A 19,819-nucleotide genomic window follows, 5' to 3' on the forward strand; every position below is an offset into this window, starting at 1 on the left:
ACCTTTCTAAAAGGTTAGTAATGGTTTCATCTCCATATGATAGATGAAGAAACAGGCCTGGAAAGCCCAGGCATTTTGTGAAAGATCATACTGCTGGTATGTGGAGCAGGGGCTCCAACTCAGGCTGGCCCTCCCCAGGGATTGTGCCCTGAGCCCTTTCCTGTGGGGCCTGATTCCCAACCCTGCCCCAGGATCCAAGGTGGACTCAGTGTCCATGTCATGTAACAAAAGAGTCAGGGGTTCTCGGTGCCCTGTTAGGGCCTGTTGTTCCTGGTTGGTTGGCAAGTCTGAGTGTTTATTCAGCACTGCTGGGAAGGCTCCCTGGCTTAATTCTGAGATTCCAAGCCATCCTGTCGTATCTCCCCCGACTCCCCCAGCTGAGAGAACTGGGAGAGACACGAGGACACACAGGGCAGGGGCTCTTCCCTGGGTGAGGTTTGTGTTTGGATTTCAGGCGTCGCTGATGGTGAAGTGTGCTTAGGGTTTTCTTTGTAATTCACATTCCTGTGTCTACCTCTTACTGTTTTGTCCAAAAATTCTTGTATCCATATTTGGTGATTTGTCTCTCTGTTCCCACCCCCACCCCCAAGCCCCTCAAGGTGTCTGCCAAAATCCTGTATAACTCGTATCATCTCCCAAGCTGTTATAGTATATGAGGGCAAAGGATAATTTAGTTATTTTTGAATAAAGATTCGGAGGAAAAGTAAAAAAGTTGGGCAGGGGGTGGGGGGAAGTTTTCATACTCACTGCATGAAATAGACAATATTTCCTGAAACAGGAGATACGAACCTCAAAGAATTTAAAATAAAACATTCATTTTATTATTTTTTTAAAGAAGGAAAACGAGGGGAAAAAAGTAGAATAGTCAGTCTTTTTATCCTAAGTACAGATGAAATTGATTAAACCTTAAAGACTGGCCTCCGCACACCCGGTTTATTAATTGAAGAATTTCCTCTTACCCGGAATGGGAAGTTCACATTAAAATCGAGCTTGCCCTGAGTGGTAGTGACACTTGAGAACTGAACATTTTCCACAATCCTATTTTCTCTTCAGTGCTAGAGGAAATCCTAAAATGGTTAAAATGGGGGGAAGGGGACTGAGGCGGGAGAGAACAGAAACTGTACATTTTAAGGAAGCCTAAAGCATGAAATCAAATTATAGCTTATGGGCCACAATTATTTTATTTCTACATTTCAAATTCCATTTTCTGCTCTTTTTCACTGCTCTTGAACGGGAGTTGTACTGTTGTGCAAAGTCAGCTAAAAAGATTACCCTAGATAGACTATGACACGGTAGCTTAAAGAAGCAAAAAGGCAAAACTCCCTGGTTAGGTTGGGAGCCCTGTGGCCCTACAGAGCCCTCATGTCTGCTTCCATCTGGAAAGGCGACATAAGCAGCCATCACCCCCCGGACTCCTTGGCCCTGACAGGAGCTTGGAAACCTCCACTCTTCGTGTGTCTTCCTGTATGAGGCTGACTCTGCCTCTTGTCCTCCCAGTGATCAGTGTCTACTTCATTGCCTCCCTAGGGGTGGGCCGCTCCTGGCTGACGATAAGCTGATGCCTGGCGCATCATTAATGCTCTGGCTTAGCAGGACTGAAGGTCATGCATTTTCCAGTTTTCTTCCAGTCCCTGGATTTAGTGCCAGCACACCTTTCCCCTACCTCTCACTGACCCCTTTTCGGCAGAGTGAGTTCCAGGCTCAGTGCTTCAGCAGGCCATGTTATCCAGTTAACATCTAATAATGTTTTATTTATCTTTACAGTTAATTTCTCCTTAACGCAAATTTAAGAGTGTTGTACTTATGGTCATGTAAAGTTGTTTTTAATATAAGTGCATTTGAATTTTAAAAAATGATATGATTTAAACATACATGTGAGTAAATAATAGTAGAGGTAGTATCCATGGGTCTGGCAGAAATCATGAAGGTGGCTCATGGATGGAGAACCCTGGCTTAATTCATACTTCTTCCCTGATGTGGATCAGCTGTTTTGAAAACTTCTAGCCAAAGAGCTCTTTAATCATGTCTCCAGTTATCCATCCACATCTTTACCAGCCCTTGCTCTCAGGAAGTTCTCTTACAGATCTACCTGAGCTCCCTCATGCTTCTGTTGAAGATCACTTTATTTTGTATTTTCATTAGATAGGGAACATCCTACATTAGATAGGTCCCTACCTCTGACCTTGAGCATCTCCTTAACTTCCTCTTCCCTCAGCCTCATGGTGGGCATGCAGGCTCTTAGACTCTGGCAGACAGGCGATATTGCTTAGTATCATGGTACAAGTTCTCCTGTTGAGTTGGAGGTTTGGGTTCTAATCCAGTCCTCCAGTTTGTTAGCTGTGTGACTGAGGGCAAGTCACTTCAGATCCTTCAAATCTCTTCAAGTCTCAGCTTCTGCACCTGTGTGTGTGAATAATAATAAATGTTTCCTTCCTGGGCTATTAAGATTAATTGAAATAATGTGCCTGGTGCATTCTTAAGCATGCAATATGTGTTCATTCTCTTTCTTCCTTTCCCCGATTCCCTGACCTGTAGTCATCTTTTTATTTATTTATTTATTTATTTATTTATTTAATTTATTTATTTTGAGACAGAGTCTTGCTCTGTCGCCCAGGCTGGAGTGCAGTGGTGTGATCTTGGCTCACTGCAACCTCTGCCTCCCGGGTTCAAGCAATTCTCGTGCCTCAGCCTCCTGAGTAGCTGGGATTACAGGCACACACCACCATGCCTGGCTAATTATTGTATTTTTAGTAGAGATGGCATTTCATCATGTTGGCCAGGCTGGTGTTGAACTCCTGACCTCAAGTGACCCTCCCACCTCGGCCTCCCAAAATGTTGGGATTACAGGCATGAGCCACCGCTCCCAGCCCATTTTTTTCATTTTTAAGCTTTTTATTTCAAAGTCATTTCAAACTTAGAGAAAGGCTCTAAGAATAGTACATAGGACTCCCGTATGCCCATCACCCTTGAGTCATCTTTGTGACCATCCTTGCATACGACAGCATGGTTTGGGTACAGCCAGACAGAGACTTAGGAGTTGCTCTCTAGCAAGGCTGACTGTGGTGCGAGGACATTTCCATGGATTCCTCCACTGGTCTTGCAGAAGGCTGAAACCTCATTAACAGAAAATCTTTATGACCACTAAGCAGACATAACTGGGTGTCTTCTCTCTGCTACCCTCCCACCCTGCCTTAGGTGGATTGTCTAACTTGTAGATCAAAGCTAGCCTCTTGACAAGTTTCCTAATAGGACAGGTACATACCTAGAGTTGTGTCTGAGATGACTTGATGTGTGCACAGATATGGTGTTAAGGGACGTCGATCCCAGTGAGAAAGTTATTCCCATTTCAAGATTCTTTAAGTCCTTCTGATGACTTTAAGGAGATCTCAGGTTGGTGCTGGGAGCTCTTATACTTCTCTTAACATTGTAAGCTCAGTGCCTGTTACTGTAACCATGTCTGGCTAGAACTTAATAACAGTGTTTTACTTTTATTGTACTTCTTTTTTTAAACTTTTCACTTATGGTAAATTATGCTGGTTTTCCAGTGATATGAAGCTTTACTTTTACTTACTTACTTATTTATTTTATTTTATTTTTTTGAGGCAGGGTCTCATTCTGTTGCCCAGGTTGGAGTGCAGTGGCGTGATCTTGGCTCACTGCAACCTCTGCCTCCTTGGTTCAAGTGATTCTCCTGCCTCAGCCTCCCATATGTCTGGGACCACAGGTGCACACCACCACACCCAGCTAATTTTTGTATTTTTTTTTTGTAGAGATGGGGTCTCTCCATGTTGCCCAGGCTGGTCTTGAACTCCTGGGCTCAAGCAATCCCCCCACCTCGGCCTCCCAAAGTGCTGGGATTATAGGCCTGAGCCACCGCGCCCAGCCTGAAGCTTTACTTTTAAAAATAAATTGCTCTTGAGTCAGTAACGTATGTATGTACATAGTTCAAAATCTTAAAGGTACAAAAAGGTACACAGTAAAAAGTAAATCTTCCTTTTCCCCCTGCTTACCTAGTTTACTTCCTGGAAGCAAATTGCTATAACCATTTTCTTCTAAAGATTCCAAAGACACTTCATGATTTTTAAGCATGTTCTTTCTCCCACGGATCCTCTAGAAGTGGCAATATACTGTGCACACAGTGAACACACCAGCTCCGCTAGAGCTCTATTCAGTGAATAGTTACCGTGGTGTTTTTAAATAGCTGGGTCATGTTCTGTTTTATGTACATGTCATGGTTTAGTTAACTACTTCCCTTCCAACAGGCAGTCAGGCTGGTTCTGACCTTTTGCTCTTCCAGACACGTAGCAATGAGTGTCCACATATGTGCCCCATGTGCACGTGGGTCACTGCTAGTCCCCAGGGGTGTTTGACGGCCATTTGCCGTTGTGCTGCTCCTACCCCCAACCCCACCCCAGTGACAGGCAGGACTATCTGTCTCCCCTGTGTGGATGGGCAAAGGTTTGTTTGTTTGTTTGTTTGTTTGTTTGTTTGTTTGTTTTCAGACGGAGTCTCACTTTTTCGCCCAGGCTGGAGTTCAGTGGCGCAATCTCGCCTTACTGCAACCTCCGCCTCCCGGGTTCAAGTGTTTCTCCTGTCTCAGGCTCCCGAGTAGCTGGGATTACGCAGCAACACCAGGCACGCAACACCCCATCCGGCTAATTTTGTATTTTTAGTAGAAATGGGGTTTCACCACATCGGCCAGGCTGGCCTCAAACTCCTGACTTCAAGTAATCTGCCTGCCTTGGCCTCCCAAATTGTTGGGATTATAGGCGTGAGCCACTGTGCCCAGCCAAGAGTGTTACCAAATGTTTGAGGTGACTCGGCCTCCTGTATAAAACTTGGGTTCTGGAGCCACATAGCCTGACTTTGAATTCTAGCTCCCTATCTTTCTAGTTCTGCGACCCGTGACTTAATTTCCTCATCTGTAAATGGCGGGGGGCGGGGGTGGCGGTGACACAGAGTGTCAGCAGGCTCCCAGAATGTCAGGGCTAGGCAGGCCGAACACTCAACATGTTAGCTCTTTGTATTATCATCAGTATTATTTTGTCAGTACAGTAGGTGAAAAACAGAATTTCAGTGTACAGTGGTTTTAATTTGCATTTTTTTGTTACTAGTAAGGTGTGATGTCTTATCATGTTTGAGCTATTTTTATTTCTTTATGCCCCTGCTTATTTCTCTGACTTCATCTCCTTCCTCTTCCTCAAACGCATGTGGAGGCTTTGCACTTGTTCCTCCCTCTGTTGCCTACCAACTCCTTCTCCGCTGAGTCTGTGCCCAGATAGCTCCTTCTCAATGAGGCCTCTCCTGACAGCCTGATTTAAAATTGCAGGCCACCTGCTTCGCAGACAGCTCGGAGCCTACTTCTCCTGCTCTTTCTCCCCAGGATGCTTAGCCTCTCTGACCCTACTGTGAAATTCACTTACTGTGTTTTAATGTTTGCTTTTGCTCTACCCTACTGGACTGTGAGTTCTCGATTGCAAGGGGTAGGGACTGTTGTCTGTCTGGCCTCTCAAGTGTGCCAGCCACCAACTCTACGTCTGGCATGAGGGAGTGTTCAGTAAACGTGCTGCGTGTGAACTAGCTGTTGATACCATTTACATTTTTGATTGGACTGTCGCTCTTTTTAAAAAATCCATTTCTATATTTCCAATTTGAAATATTAAGGAAAACAGTCCTTTGTATGTAGTATGCATTTTAAGCTTCTCTCCCTTGTCACTGGACTTTATCGTATTTTCCTATACAGAGATATTTGGTTATTATATTGTTGAATTTGTCAGTGTTTCCTTTTTATTTTCTTCTGTGTTTATTCTGTGGGTTTTGTATCTTACCTAGGTATTTTTTTACTTTTAAGATTATAAAAAATTTTTTTCTCACCCTTTCTTTCAGTACTTTTTTGGTTTTCTGTTTTTATGTTTGAAACCTTGATCCATTTGGAATTTATTCTGATGTCATGTGTATGGTAGACATCCAATTTTATTTTTATCTAGATGGCTACCCATTGTCCCTTTATCACAATTATGTGATTGTCCCTGTTTCCAGATGTGGACCTTGGGGTCAGAGAGGGAAAGATCCTTACCCAAGATTGTGCAGCCAGCAAATGGACTTGCATCCTGCCCTGCTCCCCTCTCCCAGCTCTGCGGGTGTTTTGCCATGAGTCTCTAGCATTTCTTGTTTTTTTGGCTTTCTTTCCTTTTGGCGGGGGTCCAACACCTCTATTTGTCTGCTATCTTGTCCAGGGCCATTTATTTTTTGCCTTGATGTCTTACATGGACCTTCTTTGTTGTTCCTCCTGTTCCTCCACTGCTGACATGCTCTCATTGTTCACCCTGGCCTTTCTTCAGGTGGTGATGAATGTCTCCTTTGGCTCCCTCCTGCAGGACTGTGCCTCAGGTTGTGCACTTTGTTCTCCTTCCTCTCTATCCTCAGGGCCTTGCCCACCTGCTCTTTGGGATGCCTTAGGGTTCCCAGAGCACTCAGGAATGCATGATTCTGGCCAAGAGGCAGCTGATAATAGAAAAAGCAGAAATTTTGAAGTCAGACAGCCCTTGGTACTAGCGCTGCCTCTGCTGTTGACTGTTGGGCAATTAGACCTCAGATTTCTCTTTATGGAAATGGGAGGTCTCCTCTTCCAGGGGATAGTGGTGAGGATTAGAACTAATGCAGAAGTCACAAGCTCAGGTGCCTGTTGGGAGCCAGGCTAGTAGTACAAATGCTGGGGTGTGAGGCAATAGGGAATTGCAGGAACCAGGGTAAAGTTGGGAATGCATGCCTGTTCTCCAGGAGACAGCTGCTCCTCAGCCACATCAGACAAAGGCCCAGTCTAACCACATGTGCTAATTCATGGAGATTTTTATGTGACATTTCTCAAGTTGTAAATGTTGGCAGTGTATGCATATTCTAACAGGTACTGCACAGGCTAGACAATGCCCATTCCAGATCCTCAGGCATCTTTAAGTTGTCAGTTTGCAACCAGTGATGTGAAGTCCTTGGCTCCAATTCAGCTCTCAATCCACAGTGGCTGTTATTCGGGGTTTTTTGGGGTTTTCTTTGAGCTTGCTCTGTCGCCCAGGCCAGAGTGCAGTGGCATAGTCTCGGCTCACTGCAGCCTCCACCTCCTGGGTTCAAGTAATTCTCGTGTCTCAGCCTCCATGCATACCACCATGCCCGGCTAATTTTTTGTATTTTAGTAGAGACGGGGTTTCATCATGTTAGCCCAAGCTGTTCTCAAAGTCCTGAGCTCAGGCAATCTGCCCACTTCAGCCTCCCAAAGTGTGTAATGGCTGTTATTTGAATTGTGGCTGCTGCTTTTGGGTTTCTTGTCAGTCAGGCAGCACCCTGCAGTGTCCCTGCTGGACGCTGGGTCAACTCTGTTCCCACTAGTTACTTCCGGTTCTTGGAGTTCTTAAACTTCTTCTGGTCCACGTGGTATGGCATATCCTTTACCTGGAGACCAAGAAGCCAGGGTTTGACTCTTAATGCATCATGGGACCAGGACAGCAATGTCTAGTTCTGCCGGGTCAGCTTCTCCTGCTCAGGGGTCTCCCTGCAAGTCTGGTGAGATTTGGCCAGGATGTTTGTGGAGGAGCCTGCCTTTGCAGGGCAGTTCAAACAAAAAGGATGTCCTGCCCAGTGGTGGATACAGTGATCCAGGCTGTTGGCTGGCACTTACCAAGAAACCCCGTGAGGGGCCAGCTCCTGGGTCCACAGGAGTTGGGGGAGGCACTGTTTGTATTCGCTCCATGCTGCCGTTAATACTCTTCCTCTTCCTCCTCTGGAGGGCACAAGGCCTTTGGGTATATGTGAGTCCTAAAGGAAGGAGGAGGCCAGTTCTTGAGCTCTTACTGTGCTGGCATAGTGATACTTGCAGCAGCTTGCATTTAGTGAGTCTGGGGCATGTGGCAGGTGCTGGGTGAGGTGCCCTCCTCCAACTTACTGTGTTGTCTCTGGCATCAGCATCTTCCAAGGAGGAATCCCAGGCTCCAGGAGGTCAAGAGGTGTACTTGCCTGAGGCTGTGCAGCTGGCAGAGCGAGATGCTTACCCTCTGCCCCCGCCTGCCTCAGAACTTGAGGTGGGCTTCCAAGCTGCCACCCCGTTCCTCCTGCCCACAGGCAGCACCCCTCTCTATGAATTCCTTGATCACATGCCTCAGATCAAAACATGCCCTCCCTCTGGGCTGTCTCCTCTACAGGAACCTGAGTTTCCAACTAGAGTGGTAGACACCACTGTCAGTAGAAAACAGAAATGCAATTATTGTTTCTGTTTTACAGATGTGGAGATGGAGCACAGAGAGGGTGAATAGCTTTATAAAACTCCCCTCCATCTGAAACTGTTCATGAAAATGGTGATAACAAGGACCAGGGTCCCTGGAGCCTTCTCCTGTGACTGGGGCCTCCTTTGGCCACCTGGTCCCCACTGGAGGGTCTGGGCCTGGCCAGGAGCCTCTAGCCTGTTAAACTCCTAGCACCTCCTGCAGTCGATGGAGTAACCTGGTGGTTGTTAGCAGCATGGGCAGCATGAATGTTTGGCTTCAGTGAGAGGGCTAAGCAGAAAGGCTGAGAGAGAGTGCATGAGTGTGGCATGCTGCCCTGTGCCCAGGTGGGTGCTAGGTCACAGGCACTGTGCAGGGCCTGGTCGTGACCGCCCTCCTTCTCTCCTCCCCTTTCCCCTTCCCCAACTCCATCAGCAGGCTTTGTCCACTTGTGTTTGCCTGGGGTCTGCCTGGACTAGTGGGGACAGCAGGCCTTGTTACAGTTCGACCAAGAGTGATGGGGCCCAGGTTCAGTGCTCACAGCTGTTAGTACCAGCTCCTGCTTACTGAGGGTGCTTAGGGCTGAGTCTCTCCTAATCTTCTGCAGGAGACATCTTTGTTTAGGTCCTGATTGTGGATGAGGAAATTGAAGCTCCTGGTAAGGTTGTGATTTGAACATATCCAAGCTTGGGGACCTCCAAGCCCTGCTCTTGCCACTTCCTCTTATTTGTGGTCCTTGTTTCCTTGGTCTTTAAAATGACCCTCTTGTTTAAGCCCCTTCCATTTCCAAATCCTCTGAGCCTGTGCTGAGGAGGACAGGCTGGACACTGCTGGTTAGTCCCACACCTTCCTGGTACCAGTAGGAATTTGAGAGGGAAAGTCCAGGCTTACCCTGTTTCAGGAAAACTGCAGAAGGAGGAAAACTAATTCTCCTTAAAACTGATTTTCTCCTTGCTCTCTCTGCAGAATGGGCTGCAATGTGACTGAAGTCTTGCTGCCTTCCCATCCCCTGCCCTTGGCAGAGAGTCAGGGTTGGGACAGCTGCAACCTGTGTTGGATGGAGCCTGATCAGTCCTGGGTTCTTGCCCCTAGTTGGGTGGCTTTGGGCAAGTTATTTAACCTGTCTCAGCCTCAGTCTTCTTACCTGTATAATGAGGAGATAGGCAATACATTGAATAAATGAATAAAAACAGCTGCAAATAATAATATAAGGCTCTCGCCCTGGAGTCTGAGAAGCTGTGTTCTGAGTTGGGGACCTCTGAAACCTGCCCGTTTTGTCCTGGAACACCCGCAGGGGGCTTGTACAGAGCAATTGTTTTATTCTGGACATAAGATCTTGCTGCTCAGAGTTTCAGGGTACTGTTGTAGAGCAAAATCAGTAGACTGAGTTCAAATCCCTCTGAATCCTTGCTCCTTGACCTGACTTGGTTACTTCACCTCTCTAAGCCTTTGTCCTCTCTCTCTCTCTCTTTTTTTTTTTTTTTTTTTTTTTGAGACAGGGTCTCACTCTGTCACCCAGGCTGGAGTACAGTGGTGTAATCAGGCCTTGACCTGCAGCCTTGACCTCTCTGGGCTTAGGTGATTATCCTACCTTAGCCTCCCAAGTAGGTGGGATTACAGGCATGCACCACTATGCCTAGCTAATTTTTGTATTTTGTATAGAGACAGGGTTTCACCATGTTGCCCCATGCTGGTCTCAAACTCCTGAGCTCAAGTGATTCACACACCTCAGCCTCCCAAAGTGCTGGGATTACAAACGTGTGCCACCACGCTGAACCAATTTTTGTATTTTTGTAGAGACGGGGTTTCACTATGTTGCCTAGGCTGGTCTTGAACTCCTGAGCTCAAGTGATCTGCCCACTTTAGCCTCCCAAAGTGCTGGGGTTACAGACCCAGCCTGTTTTCCCATTTGTAATACCCACATTGCAGAGTTGGTGTTGAGATGTAGGTAAGAGGAGATGAAGACATGTAGACCACCACTGTGCATGTCATAATAGCAGATGTAGAAGTGAAAACCGTGGTAACAGCTAATATAATTGAGGATTTCATATGTCTAGGCACTGTTCTAAATTGTTTACATATCTGATCTCATTGAATCTTCAGTGCAATCCAATAACATAGGCAGTATCATCGTCCTTGTATAAGATGAGGAGCCTGAGGCACAGAGAGAGTTAATGTATTTGGCAAATGGTCATAATAATAGTAGGATATTAATTGCCACTGCAGTTTTATATTGTTGATAAAATGTATTTACATTGTTCAATGAATATTTAAAAAGTCACCAGTCAAAAACAAATTTTGGCCAGGCACAGTGGCTCACGCCCGTAATCCTAGTAGCACTTTGGGAGCTGAGGTGGGAGGATCTATTGAGGCCAGGAGTTCGAGACCAGCCTGGGCAACATAGCAAGACTCCACCTCTACAAAAAAATTTTAAAAATAAGCTGGGTATGGTGGCATGCACCTGTAGTCCCAGCTACTTGGGAGGCTAGGACAGGAGGATCGTTTGAGCCCAGGAATTCAAGGCTGCAGTGAGCTATGATTGCACCACTGCACTCCAGCCTGGGCAACAGTAAGACCCTGCCTCTAAAATTAAAAAAATAAATAAATAAATAACAAATAATGGCACACATTTACCTACATAACAAACCTGGTCATCCTGCACATGTACCCCTGAACTTAAAATATAAGTTGGAAATAAATTTTTTTTTCTTTATTTTAAATGTAACATTTTTTCTCCTTCTTATAATGCCCATAGCTTTGACTTTTTTAAAAAAAAATCTGATTTTGAGGTTGCTAAAATATGTTCAAAGTATAATGTTAAGTTTCTCCAGCTGAAATATTTTTTTCTGAACATATTTTATTCCTTCAGTCCCAAAAGGAAAATTACACCTCACAGATAACTTATGCTTTGTTAAATGCTGACCCTTGTAAGTTTTTCATTATTTTTGAAATGATTAAGATATATAATTTACAGAATTGGAAATTGTAATTTTTAAATGTACTGAGAAACTTTAACCCTATTATAATTATTCTGCAAATCTTTTAAGGATACTATAGTCAGTACAACTAGATGAAAAACTCTGATAGATTGGGAAATATAGAGGATCATTTATAAGCCTTGATTTTTTTGTCTTGTGTTTCCCACCCACTCACTCGCTATGTCCCTCTAGTCTCAGAGCGATTTTCTACCCTGGGTTCATGGGAATTGGGAAGGACACTGTTTGATTCATTCTATGAAACTACTAGGGATTTTGAAAAAGGCAAGACGGGCCAGTTGTGTCACTTCCTGTCGTCTGATCAAAAGTTTGATGAAGAAAAGAAAGTAACTGAGAGCTGCTGCCAGGCAGCAGGCAGTTGCCTGGTGATGACCCCGGGTTTCCAGTGCTAGTCTGGTTCCCAGTGTGGCCAGTCAAGTCCCTCTGACCTCTGGGCTCCTTAGAAGTCCCTGGTGCTGGCTGCGCTGCACGGGGTCCGCTCAAGAGCCTGGCCTTTTGGAACAAAGACGGCTTTTGGATGCTGGATCAGGCTGCAGATGAAATCCCAACTGGCTCCTGAGTGTTTGGGTCCTATCTATGCTTAGTTTTCTGGGTCTGTCAATCAGTTTCATTTCCCATCCACAGGATCTCAATAGGCGTGAGAAGCAAGAGGGCCTGATGCGTGGAGCACATGAGTCATTCCCCTACTGGATAGTTGACTGGATAGTTGTGTATACCAATAGGAAATCGACTGTTGAAGAAGAGGAACAGATTCCTGGTGAATAAAGTAGAAGAGGCAGGGATATGGACATTTGCTGCATTAGTCCAGCAACGATGTATTAAGCTGTGCCCAAGCTGGGTCTTGTGCTGTGAATACAGATTGAAAACCCAGGCCTTGGTTATGAACCCTCAGCATGGAGCCGGGTGGGGCATCAAGGATCAGGGGCAAGTGAACCTGGGGCAGGTGTTCTGGGCAAAGCAGGAGCAGGGGCAAAGGCAAGGAAGGGAAAGGGGCGAGAGTCCACCTGGGTCCTACCTTGATCTTTAGATGGGAAGTGGGAGAGTTGATGGGGGGAGGGGGAGAAATTGTGGGCTGGGTCCCCACTGGGCAGGGCGGGCTGTGTGGCGTGGGAGTTAAGAACCTGGGCACCAGGGTTCAGATCTCTTCTCTGCCACCTACCTGCTGTATAACCATGAGCAGTCAACGGACTTCCCTAAAGCCTCGACTTCCTCATCTGTAAATTAGGGGCTAGGTAGTGGCAGGTGTTTAAGTTCTAGAGGGAACTTGGATAGTCAGAATTACTCTGGAGAAGTCCTTAAGGAACGCATGAGGTTGAGTGGCCTTGGTTCTGTGGGCACAGCTTCACCCACCGGAGAGGGAGGCCTGTGGGGCCAGTGCAGGATCCATTCTGCTGTGAAGGTGGAGACTGGAAAATAGGCTGGGCCCCCAACGTGTTCCTCCCTCCTTGTTCCCTGCTGGGCTTTATCTCATCCTGCCTCAAGACCCAGTCTCACAGCCCTGTGGCCAGTTCCCAGATTTACTGATGGTTAGGACCCGGAAGACAGTTGGGTGTATCTTCTGGGTAGGGAAGGCTTGGGCTCAGCTTGTGTGAGGGAGGCATGAGTGTCATGGGGCCATGGAGAGAGGGCGAAAAGCCCAGGAAAGGGTTTGTGGAGCACACAGCATGGTGCTTGGCACAAGGTGAGTGGGAAGCAACTGGTAGTTAAAAAACAGGGAGCCTCCCACAGCCACATTGGGGAGTCTTTTTTTTTTTTTTTTCCAGTGGACAGTGGGGCTCTTAGCATGAGAAGGGCATGGTCAGGTCTGTGTTTTATTGTATTATTTATTTATTTATGCACTTAAAATTATAATTTTATTTTAGAACAGATACTACACATCCCTGTTTAAAATGAAAAGGAACCGAAGAATGTACAGAGAATTTCCTTCCTACTCATCTTTGGTCTCCCAGCAGACAACCAAGTCATTAGTTTCTTTTGCATTCCCTCAGAGATATTTTATGTGTGTCGAAGCAAATACTTATGCAGTATGTGACACCCACACACGTGCACACACATACACACACACGTATACCTTATCCCCTTTTCAACACAAATCACACTCTGCACATTGTGCCTTGCCCTTCTCACTCACTCCGCCTCGGATATCATTCCATAGTGGTAGATAAAGAGCTTCTTCATTCTTTTAAATGGGTGTATAGTATTCTGTCATGGCATTATAGCATTATATTCTTATTTTCAACCTGTCCCCTGCTGATGGACATTTACCTAGTTTCCAGCATTAGCTGTAACAAACATGCTGCTTGGCTGGGTCAAAGATTATGTGCCTCTGCAGAGGTTATACCAGTTAACCCCCGACCCCCGCTCCTGCCCAGCAGTATATGAATCAGTGATATATTTTTAGAAAGTGCCTTTGGGAAGGCTGTTTGGAGGATGGAGTTTGGAGGGCCACATCTGAGCTGCAGCAGCCCATTAGGGACTAGCCAACATGAGCCTGCCATGGGCTATGGGAACTGGAGCTGGAACAGAGAAAGAGTCCAGAGGAGAGTTGGTAATTCAGTAGCTATGAGAGGGAGTCTATCAGATGAGTCGAGCCTGTTTTTAATAGTCTGTTCTGTTCACGGTAGATGATAGAGTCAGTGTCCATCCCCTCTGTGGCTGTAGCAGAGACCTGGGCCCTCCTGCCCCTTGACCTGGCAGAGGAGATGCTGCTGCTGCTGCTGCGTGCACCTGAGCCTAGCCCTGTGGCCCCAGCTGGCAGGATGAGGAGAGGAGGCTGGACAGGGAGAAGCAGAGTGGGAGACAGGAGGGTTGGGGCATGCCTAGGTCTACCTGAAGTCAGAGAGACACACCGTTCTGTGGGAGGCCAGAGGAGTGTCACAGGACAGGGGTGACCAAGAGGCCTCTTGGAACAGTGGGAAGAATTCTTCAGCAGTGGTGTCAGGAGCCCTGATTTCTAGTGTCTTCGATACTAGTTGGCTGTGTGATCTAGAGCACATGACCTAGACCCATGTCTGTGAGTCTCCGTTTCTTCATCTGAAACATAAGTTTACTGGAGATTAAGTAAGCTGACCTAGTGTGCGTAGTCAGAGTGCCCGAAAAAAGAAAGGCCCTCCCTCCTCCATGCCTTCCCTCTATCCCCAGCAGTGGGATAGAATCAGCATCATCAGAGTCATTCACAGAGCAGTCTCCTCTGCATTGCCAATGACCATAATCCGATCCCGAGAAATGCTTCATGGGCATTCTTATAAGCTCAAAATGTAATTATTCTTCATTTTAATAGGGAAAATGTTTGTATATTCCTGCAGTACGAAGTTACACGCTTCTTGTTGAAATGACTCCAAATCCCGTTAAAAAGGAAACAGTCACTTCACTGGCTAACATTATGTTCCTGACATGATTTATAGCAGTTTCCCTTCATTCACTTTCTGTAACTTGTCTGTCTACCTGCTGTTGTTCAGCTCAGGTGTGCTGTACAGTAGGATGATGCTCACAAGCGTGCACGCACACACACACACACACACACGCACACAAATGTTCAGTACTTAGCGATTATGACACAGAACCTTAGATGCTCCTAACACCCCAGAAGGAATAGGACTGAGCCGTAGCACTGTGAGGAAAAGATGCTGTCCACTCCCTAATCCTCCCCCTTCTGCCTCCTCTACTTTCTCAGTCTTCTCTCATTTCTTAGCAAGGGCAAGTATCTAGCCATTTGCCAAGCCTAGTACGAAACTTTTTTTTTTCCCCCTGCTGAGACATTTCTTCCTCTGTCAAATGGAATGAAAGTGATAGGATTGGTGCAATAGAAAGGCACGGGTTTTGGAGTTAGATGAGCCTATACCTAAACCCAGCCCTATTGCGTGTTAGCAGTGCGATCCTGGGCAAGCTCTCTGTGTTTTGTGGACCTCAGTTTCCTCATCTGCCATGGCAGTTCTGAAGCTTCAGGTCCAAGTGCCTAGCACAGGGCCTGTAGCCAGAAGCTGTGTAGTCACCATTTATTCCACTTTGCTCACTTTTACTGCAGTGCTTTGACCTGGGGCATTGGGCAACTTTCTGTGGGGCTCACCACCCCTTTTCCCTTTCTAACCTTCTCTTCTCTTATTCCAGGGGCCCAGATCATTGATCTGATGATGCTGGTCATCGATGTGACCAAGGGGATGCAGACCCAGTCAGCGGAATGCCTTGTGATCGGCCAGATTGCCTGCCAGAAGCTGGTCGTGGTGCTGAACAAAATAGACCTCTTACCTGAAGGAAAGAGACAGGCAGCAATTGATAAAATGACCAAGAAAATGCAGAAGACCCTAGAGAACACCAAGTAGGTCTGCTAATGAGAGCAATGTTCACTGCATAAGAAGGCTTCTGGGGCCTCCCATGTTCATTTCACAAACATGAATTGGACAGGCAGGTGTCAGCCTCCCGTCCTAGTAAGTGAGATCTCAACCTGGCATTTGCTCACATAAGGGCTGCATTAAATGAGGTAAAGGCTAACGTGTTTTTAAAAGAGGCCAAAAACCACAGGAGCATAAAGAAACTAGAATTTGATGAGGCACAAGCCCTTCTGTGTCTCAGCTCACAGGAAGGAGAAGGAGCACAGGGACTCTGTGCCCAGTGTGCAAGGCCTGGACTGGCAAGGGTTCAGATCCTTTCTACTTAGCTTGTCTTGATAAAAACTTAGTCCCGCCTACATATATTGGCCATACTTTGGTGCAAGAGAGGCTAGGACTGTGTTCTCTTGCTATCTGCTTCTCTACAACTCGATTATCAAAAGGGGAAGATCAATTTTGGTAGATGACTGGTTGTTTCTGTTACAGAAGCTTGTAAGATTGGGTGGACAGACCGACAGATGGTTGTTGCTGCTGGAAGCCAGACTAGGAAACACCAAATCACAAAGGACCTTTTTAGCATCTTCTGCCAAGGAGTTTACAGTTTTATCTTGTGGAAAGTAGGAAGTTATTAAGGAATTTTATGCAAGGGGTGGCTAGATGAGGTTTTTCATTAGGAGATCACTGGCTGCAGGTGGAAGGCTGGCATGGTGAGGAGGACCCAGGAGGCAGCAGAGAGGAGAAGGAGGAGAAGGAGAAGGAGCAGCAGAGGCTACTGAACTGTAGTGGTTTTACCAGGGAGAGAAGGTGTTGCTCTGAGTTGAGGCAGAGCATGGAGGGAGGAGGTGGCTTGGGGAGATATCTAGCGGGAGAATCCACAGCCCTGGTGAAGCAATTCGCCTGGATCACAGTAAGTGTGGAAGAAAGCTGGCAGTGCTACCTAGAAGGGCAGGGGTGCGGGAGGCACAGGGGGACTGTGAGACAGAAAGCCACCTGGTTGCTCAGGCGGCCACAGGAATGACTAATTCTGATGTGGTCAAGAAAATGAGAAAATGTCCTTGTTGAGCACAGTGTTGACAGACCTCATTGTTTTATCAATTTCTCTCTTCCTCTCTAGGCCAGTCCCTTTTGATCAATACTAAATAGCGGTCACTGGGAGACAGGGATGCTTCCTCTTTGCTATGCAGCCTGAGACAATATCCTGCCACTTCCACCTCTCCTTCTTCTGCCCATGGAGGGCAAGCAAGTAGAGAGCGTTTTTGTTTCCCTGTCATAAAGATTGATATGCCTTCCCATTTATGATGTTTTTTTCAGATCCAACACCTGCAGCTCTCCCTCAGAATTCTCAAGTTGGTTAAATTAAAGCTCCAGCTCTGTGAATGGGCCAAATATGTCATAAAAGATTTTCTAGCGCTGCCTTTTGTTAGCAAAATTCATCAATCCGATAAAATCGACACATTTAGATAAGTGTTGCATAAGAATTCAGACTTTGTTATTCCCAGCGGAAGTGGATATGAGACTGTAAAAAGGAAGATAAAAAATTATATCTTCTTTTTAGTGAGTTATTTGATCTCCCTGTCGTTTTATTTACTTGTCAGAAAAGGAAGAACAGGTCTTTTGGACTCCCGCAAAAAAACCCAGTACAACCTCAGTACTCAGATACAACCTCAGTATCATTTACTATAGAAATGGGACCTTCAGGGAAGGGCTTAGGGTACGTTTAAGGGTTAATTAATAGTAATAGTTTTGATTAAATTTAAGGAAAATTCTCATTTGCTTGTGAAAATTACTATTTCTATTTTAGTGTATTGATTGAAGATCAAATTATGGACTTTATCACACATCCAGAGGAAATTGTCCATCTGAGGGTCCTTGGAAGCCCCTCCTGCCCTCATCCAGCACCAGCAGGCTGGTAGGGAAAGGAGAGGACTGTCACCCTGAGGGGTTGTAATCAGTGGGCATGTGACCTGCTGAACATTAGCTTTTACCTCCATGAAGCAAAGAACTTCTTTAAATGATTTTAAGTGACTATTTCATTTTCTTATGTTCCCTTGTTAAGTAAACCCTTCATAAATGCCAGTCCAGATGCAAAGAAACTTTCTGTCTATAAAGGGAAAATGTGGACTGGTGAACCATGTACCTATCAAAACCAAAAAAGTGTTCAAAACATTAAATGTATTTTTTTCTGTCCAAAGAGTAACTGAAAGAAAACTTGGAAAATAGAGAAAAGTAGTTAAAAGAAAGAAGAGCCCACCCAAAGATTTCTTTTCTCAAATGGCAGCTGCTGGCACTTTTGGATTTTTTCATTTCTTTTTTCTTTTTAACTATGTGTAGTATTGCCCCCACTTTTTCTTCCACATTTTTTTTATTGTGGTAAAATACATATAACATAATGTTTATCATTTTAGCCACATGTAAGTGTATAATTCAGAGCTATCAAGTACATTCACAGTGCTGTGTACCTGTCCCCACTATATATACCCCAAACTTTTTCATGACCCCCAACATAAACTCTGTAGCCATTAAGCAATAACTCCCCTTTCTCCCTTCCTCCCACCCTGGCAACCTCTATTCTGCTTCTCATCTCTATGAATTTGCCTGTTCTAGATACCTTTTATCAGTGGAATAATATACTATTTGGCCTTTTGTGTCTGGATTATTTCACTTAGCATAATGTTTTTAAGGTCCATCCTTATTGTAACATGTGTCAGAATTTCACTCCTTTTTGTGGTTGCATAGTGTTTTATTATGTCTATATACCACATTTTATTTATCCATTCTTCTGTTGGTAGACACTTGGGTTGCTTCCTGGCTACTGTGAATAATGCTGCTATGAACATGGATGTATAGCTATTTATTCAATTTTCTGCTTTCAATTCCTCTCAGTACATCCTAGGAGGTATGAAGTGGTATATCATCATAGTTTTCATTTGCATTTCCCTAGTTACTAATGATATTGAGCATCTTTTCATGGTTTAATGGCCATTTGTGTATCTTTTTTTGAGAAATATCTATTCAAGTCCTTTGTACATTTTTAGGTTGGGTTGTTTTCTGTTGTTGTTGTTGTTGAATTGTAATAGTTATTTATGTATTCTGGACATTAATCCCTTGTCAGAGATATGATTTGCAAATATCTTCTCCTGTTTTGTAGATTGTCTTTTCACTTCGTTGATAGTGTCCTTTGATACACAAAACTTCCTAATTTGGATGAAGTCTAGTTTATCATTTTTTTTAATTGCCTGTGCTTTTGGAGTCATATCCATGAAACTGTTGCCGAATCCTGTGTCATGAAGATTTTTATCCAGTGTTTTTTTCTAAGAATTTTGTAGCTTTAGCTCTTAAGTTTAGGTCTTTGATCATTTTGAGTTAATTTTTGTATATGATGTAAGTTAAGGGTTCACCTTCATTATTTTGCATGTGGATATCCAGTTTTCCAGGCACTTTTGTTGAAAAGATTGTCTTTTCCCCTTTTAACTTTGTAAAAAATCGATTGACCATATATGTGTGGGTTTATTTCTAGGCTTTCTGTTCTATTCCATTGGTCTATATGTCTGTCCTTAGGCTAGTGCCACACTGCTTTGATGTCTGTAGTTTTGTATTAAGTTTCAAAGTCAGAAAGTATGACTCTTCTCTCTTTGTTCTTTTTCAAGATTGTTTTGGCTATCTGGTGCTCCTTGCAGTTCCACATGAATTTGAGAATCTGCTTTTCCATTTCTGTGGAAAGGTTGTTGGAATTTTGATAGGTATTGCATTGAATCTGTAGATCTCTTTGGGTAGTATTGACATCTTAACAGCATTAAATCTTCTAATCCATGAACCATAGGATATGTTTTTGTTTAAGTCATCTTTAGTTTTTTTTGGTTTTTTTTTTTTTTTTTTAGCAATGTTTTGTAGTTTTTAGCGTACAAGGCTTTTGTCTCTTCGATTTATTCCTAAGTATTGGATTCTTTTAGAGGCCATTGTAAAGGAATTATTTTCTTAATTTATTTTGGATTGTTCATTGCTGGTGGATAGAAACACACCTGATTTTTGAACTTGTACCCTGCAACTTTGCTGAGTCCTCCCCCCATCTTTTCTTTACATATAGTTGTAGTCATGAGGCATGTACATTTTTATTTCTGCTTTTATTACTTAACATTTTACATATCATTTGCTCATGTAACCACCACTCTGTTGACCTACTAGACTGGCTTAAGTTTCTGTTCTTAAAAATAAAGCCTTAAGGTGAACATCTCTGTACATCATTAAACTG

At 44.7% G+C, this 19,819-nt stretch overlaps 1 protein-coding gene across 10 annotated transcripts in view; it reads left to right on the top strand.

Moving 5' to 3' along the window:
- The window catches only part of EEFSEC (eukaryotic elongation factor, selenocysteine-tRNA specific), a 272,743-nt gene that overhangs the window by 78,003 nt on the left and 174,921 nt on the right, over positions 1 to 19,819 (top strand). For all 10 annotated transcript variants that reach the window (XM_024453695.2, NM_001437809.1, XM_024453693.2 and 7 more), the window contains exon 2: positions 15,353 to 15,560. In XM_024453695.2, coding sequence (XP_024309463.1) covers positions 15,353 to 15,560 — 208 coding nt within the window. The remainder of the gene's footprint in view (positions 1 to 15,352; positions 15,561 to 19,819) is intronic.

The sequence above is a fragment of the Homo sapiens genome, chromosome 3 (assembly GCF_000001405.40).
Source record: "Homo sapiens chromosome 3, GRCh38.p14 Primary Assembly".
Classification (NCBI taxonomy): Eukaryota; Metazoa; Chordata; class Mammalia; order Primates; family Hominidae; genus Homo; species Homo sapiens.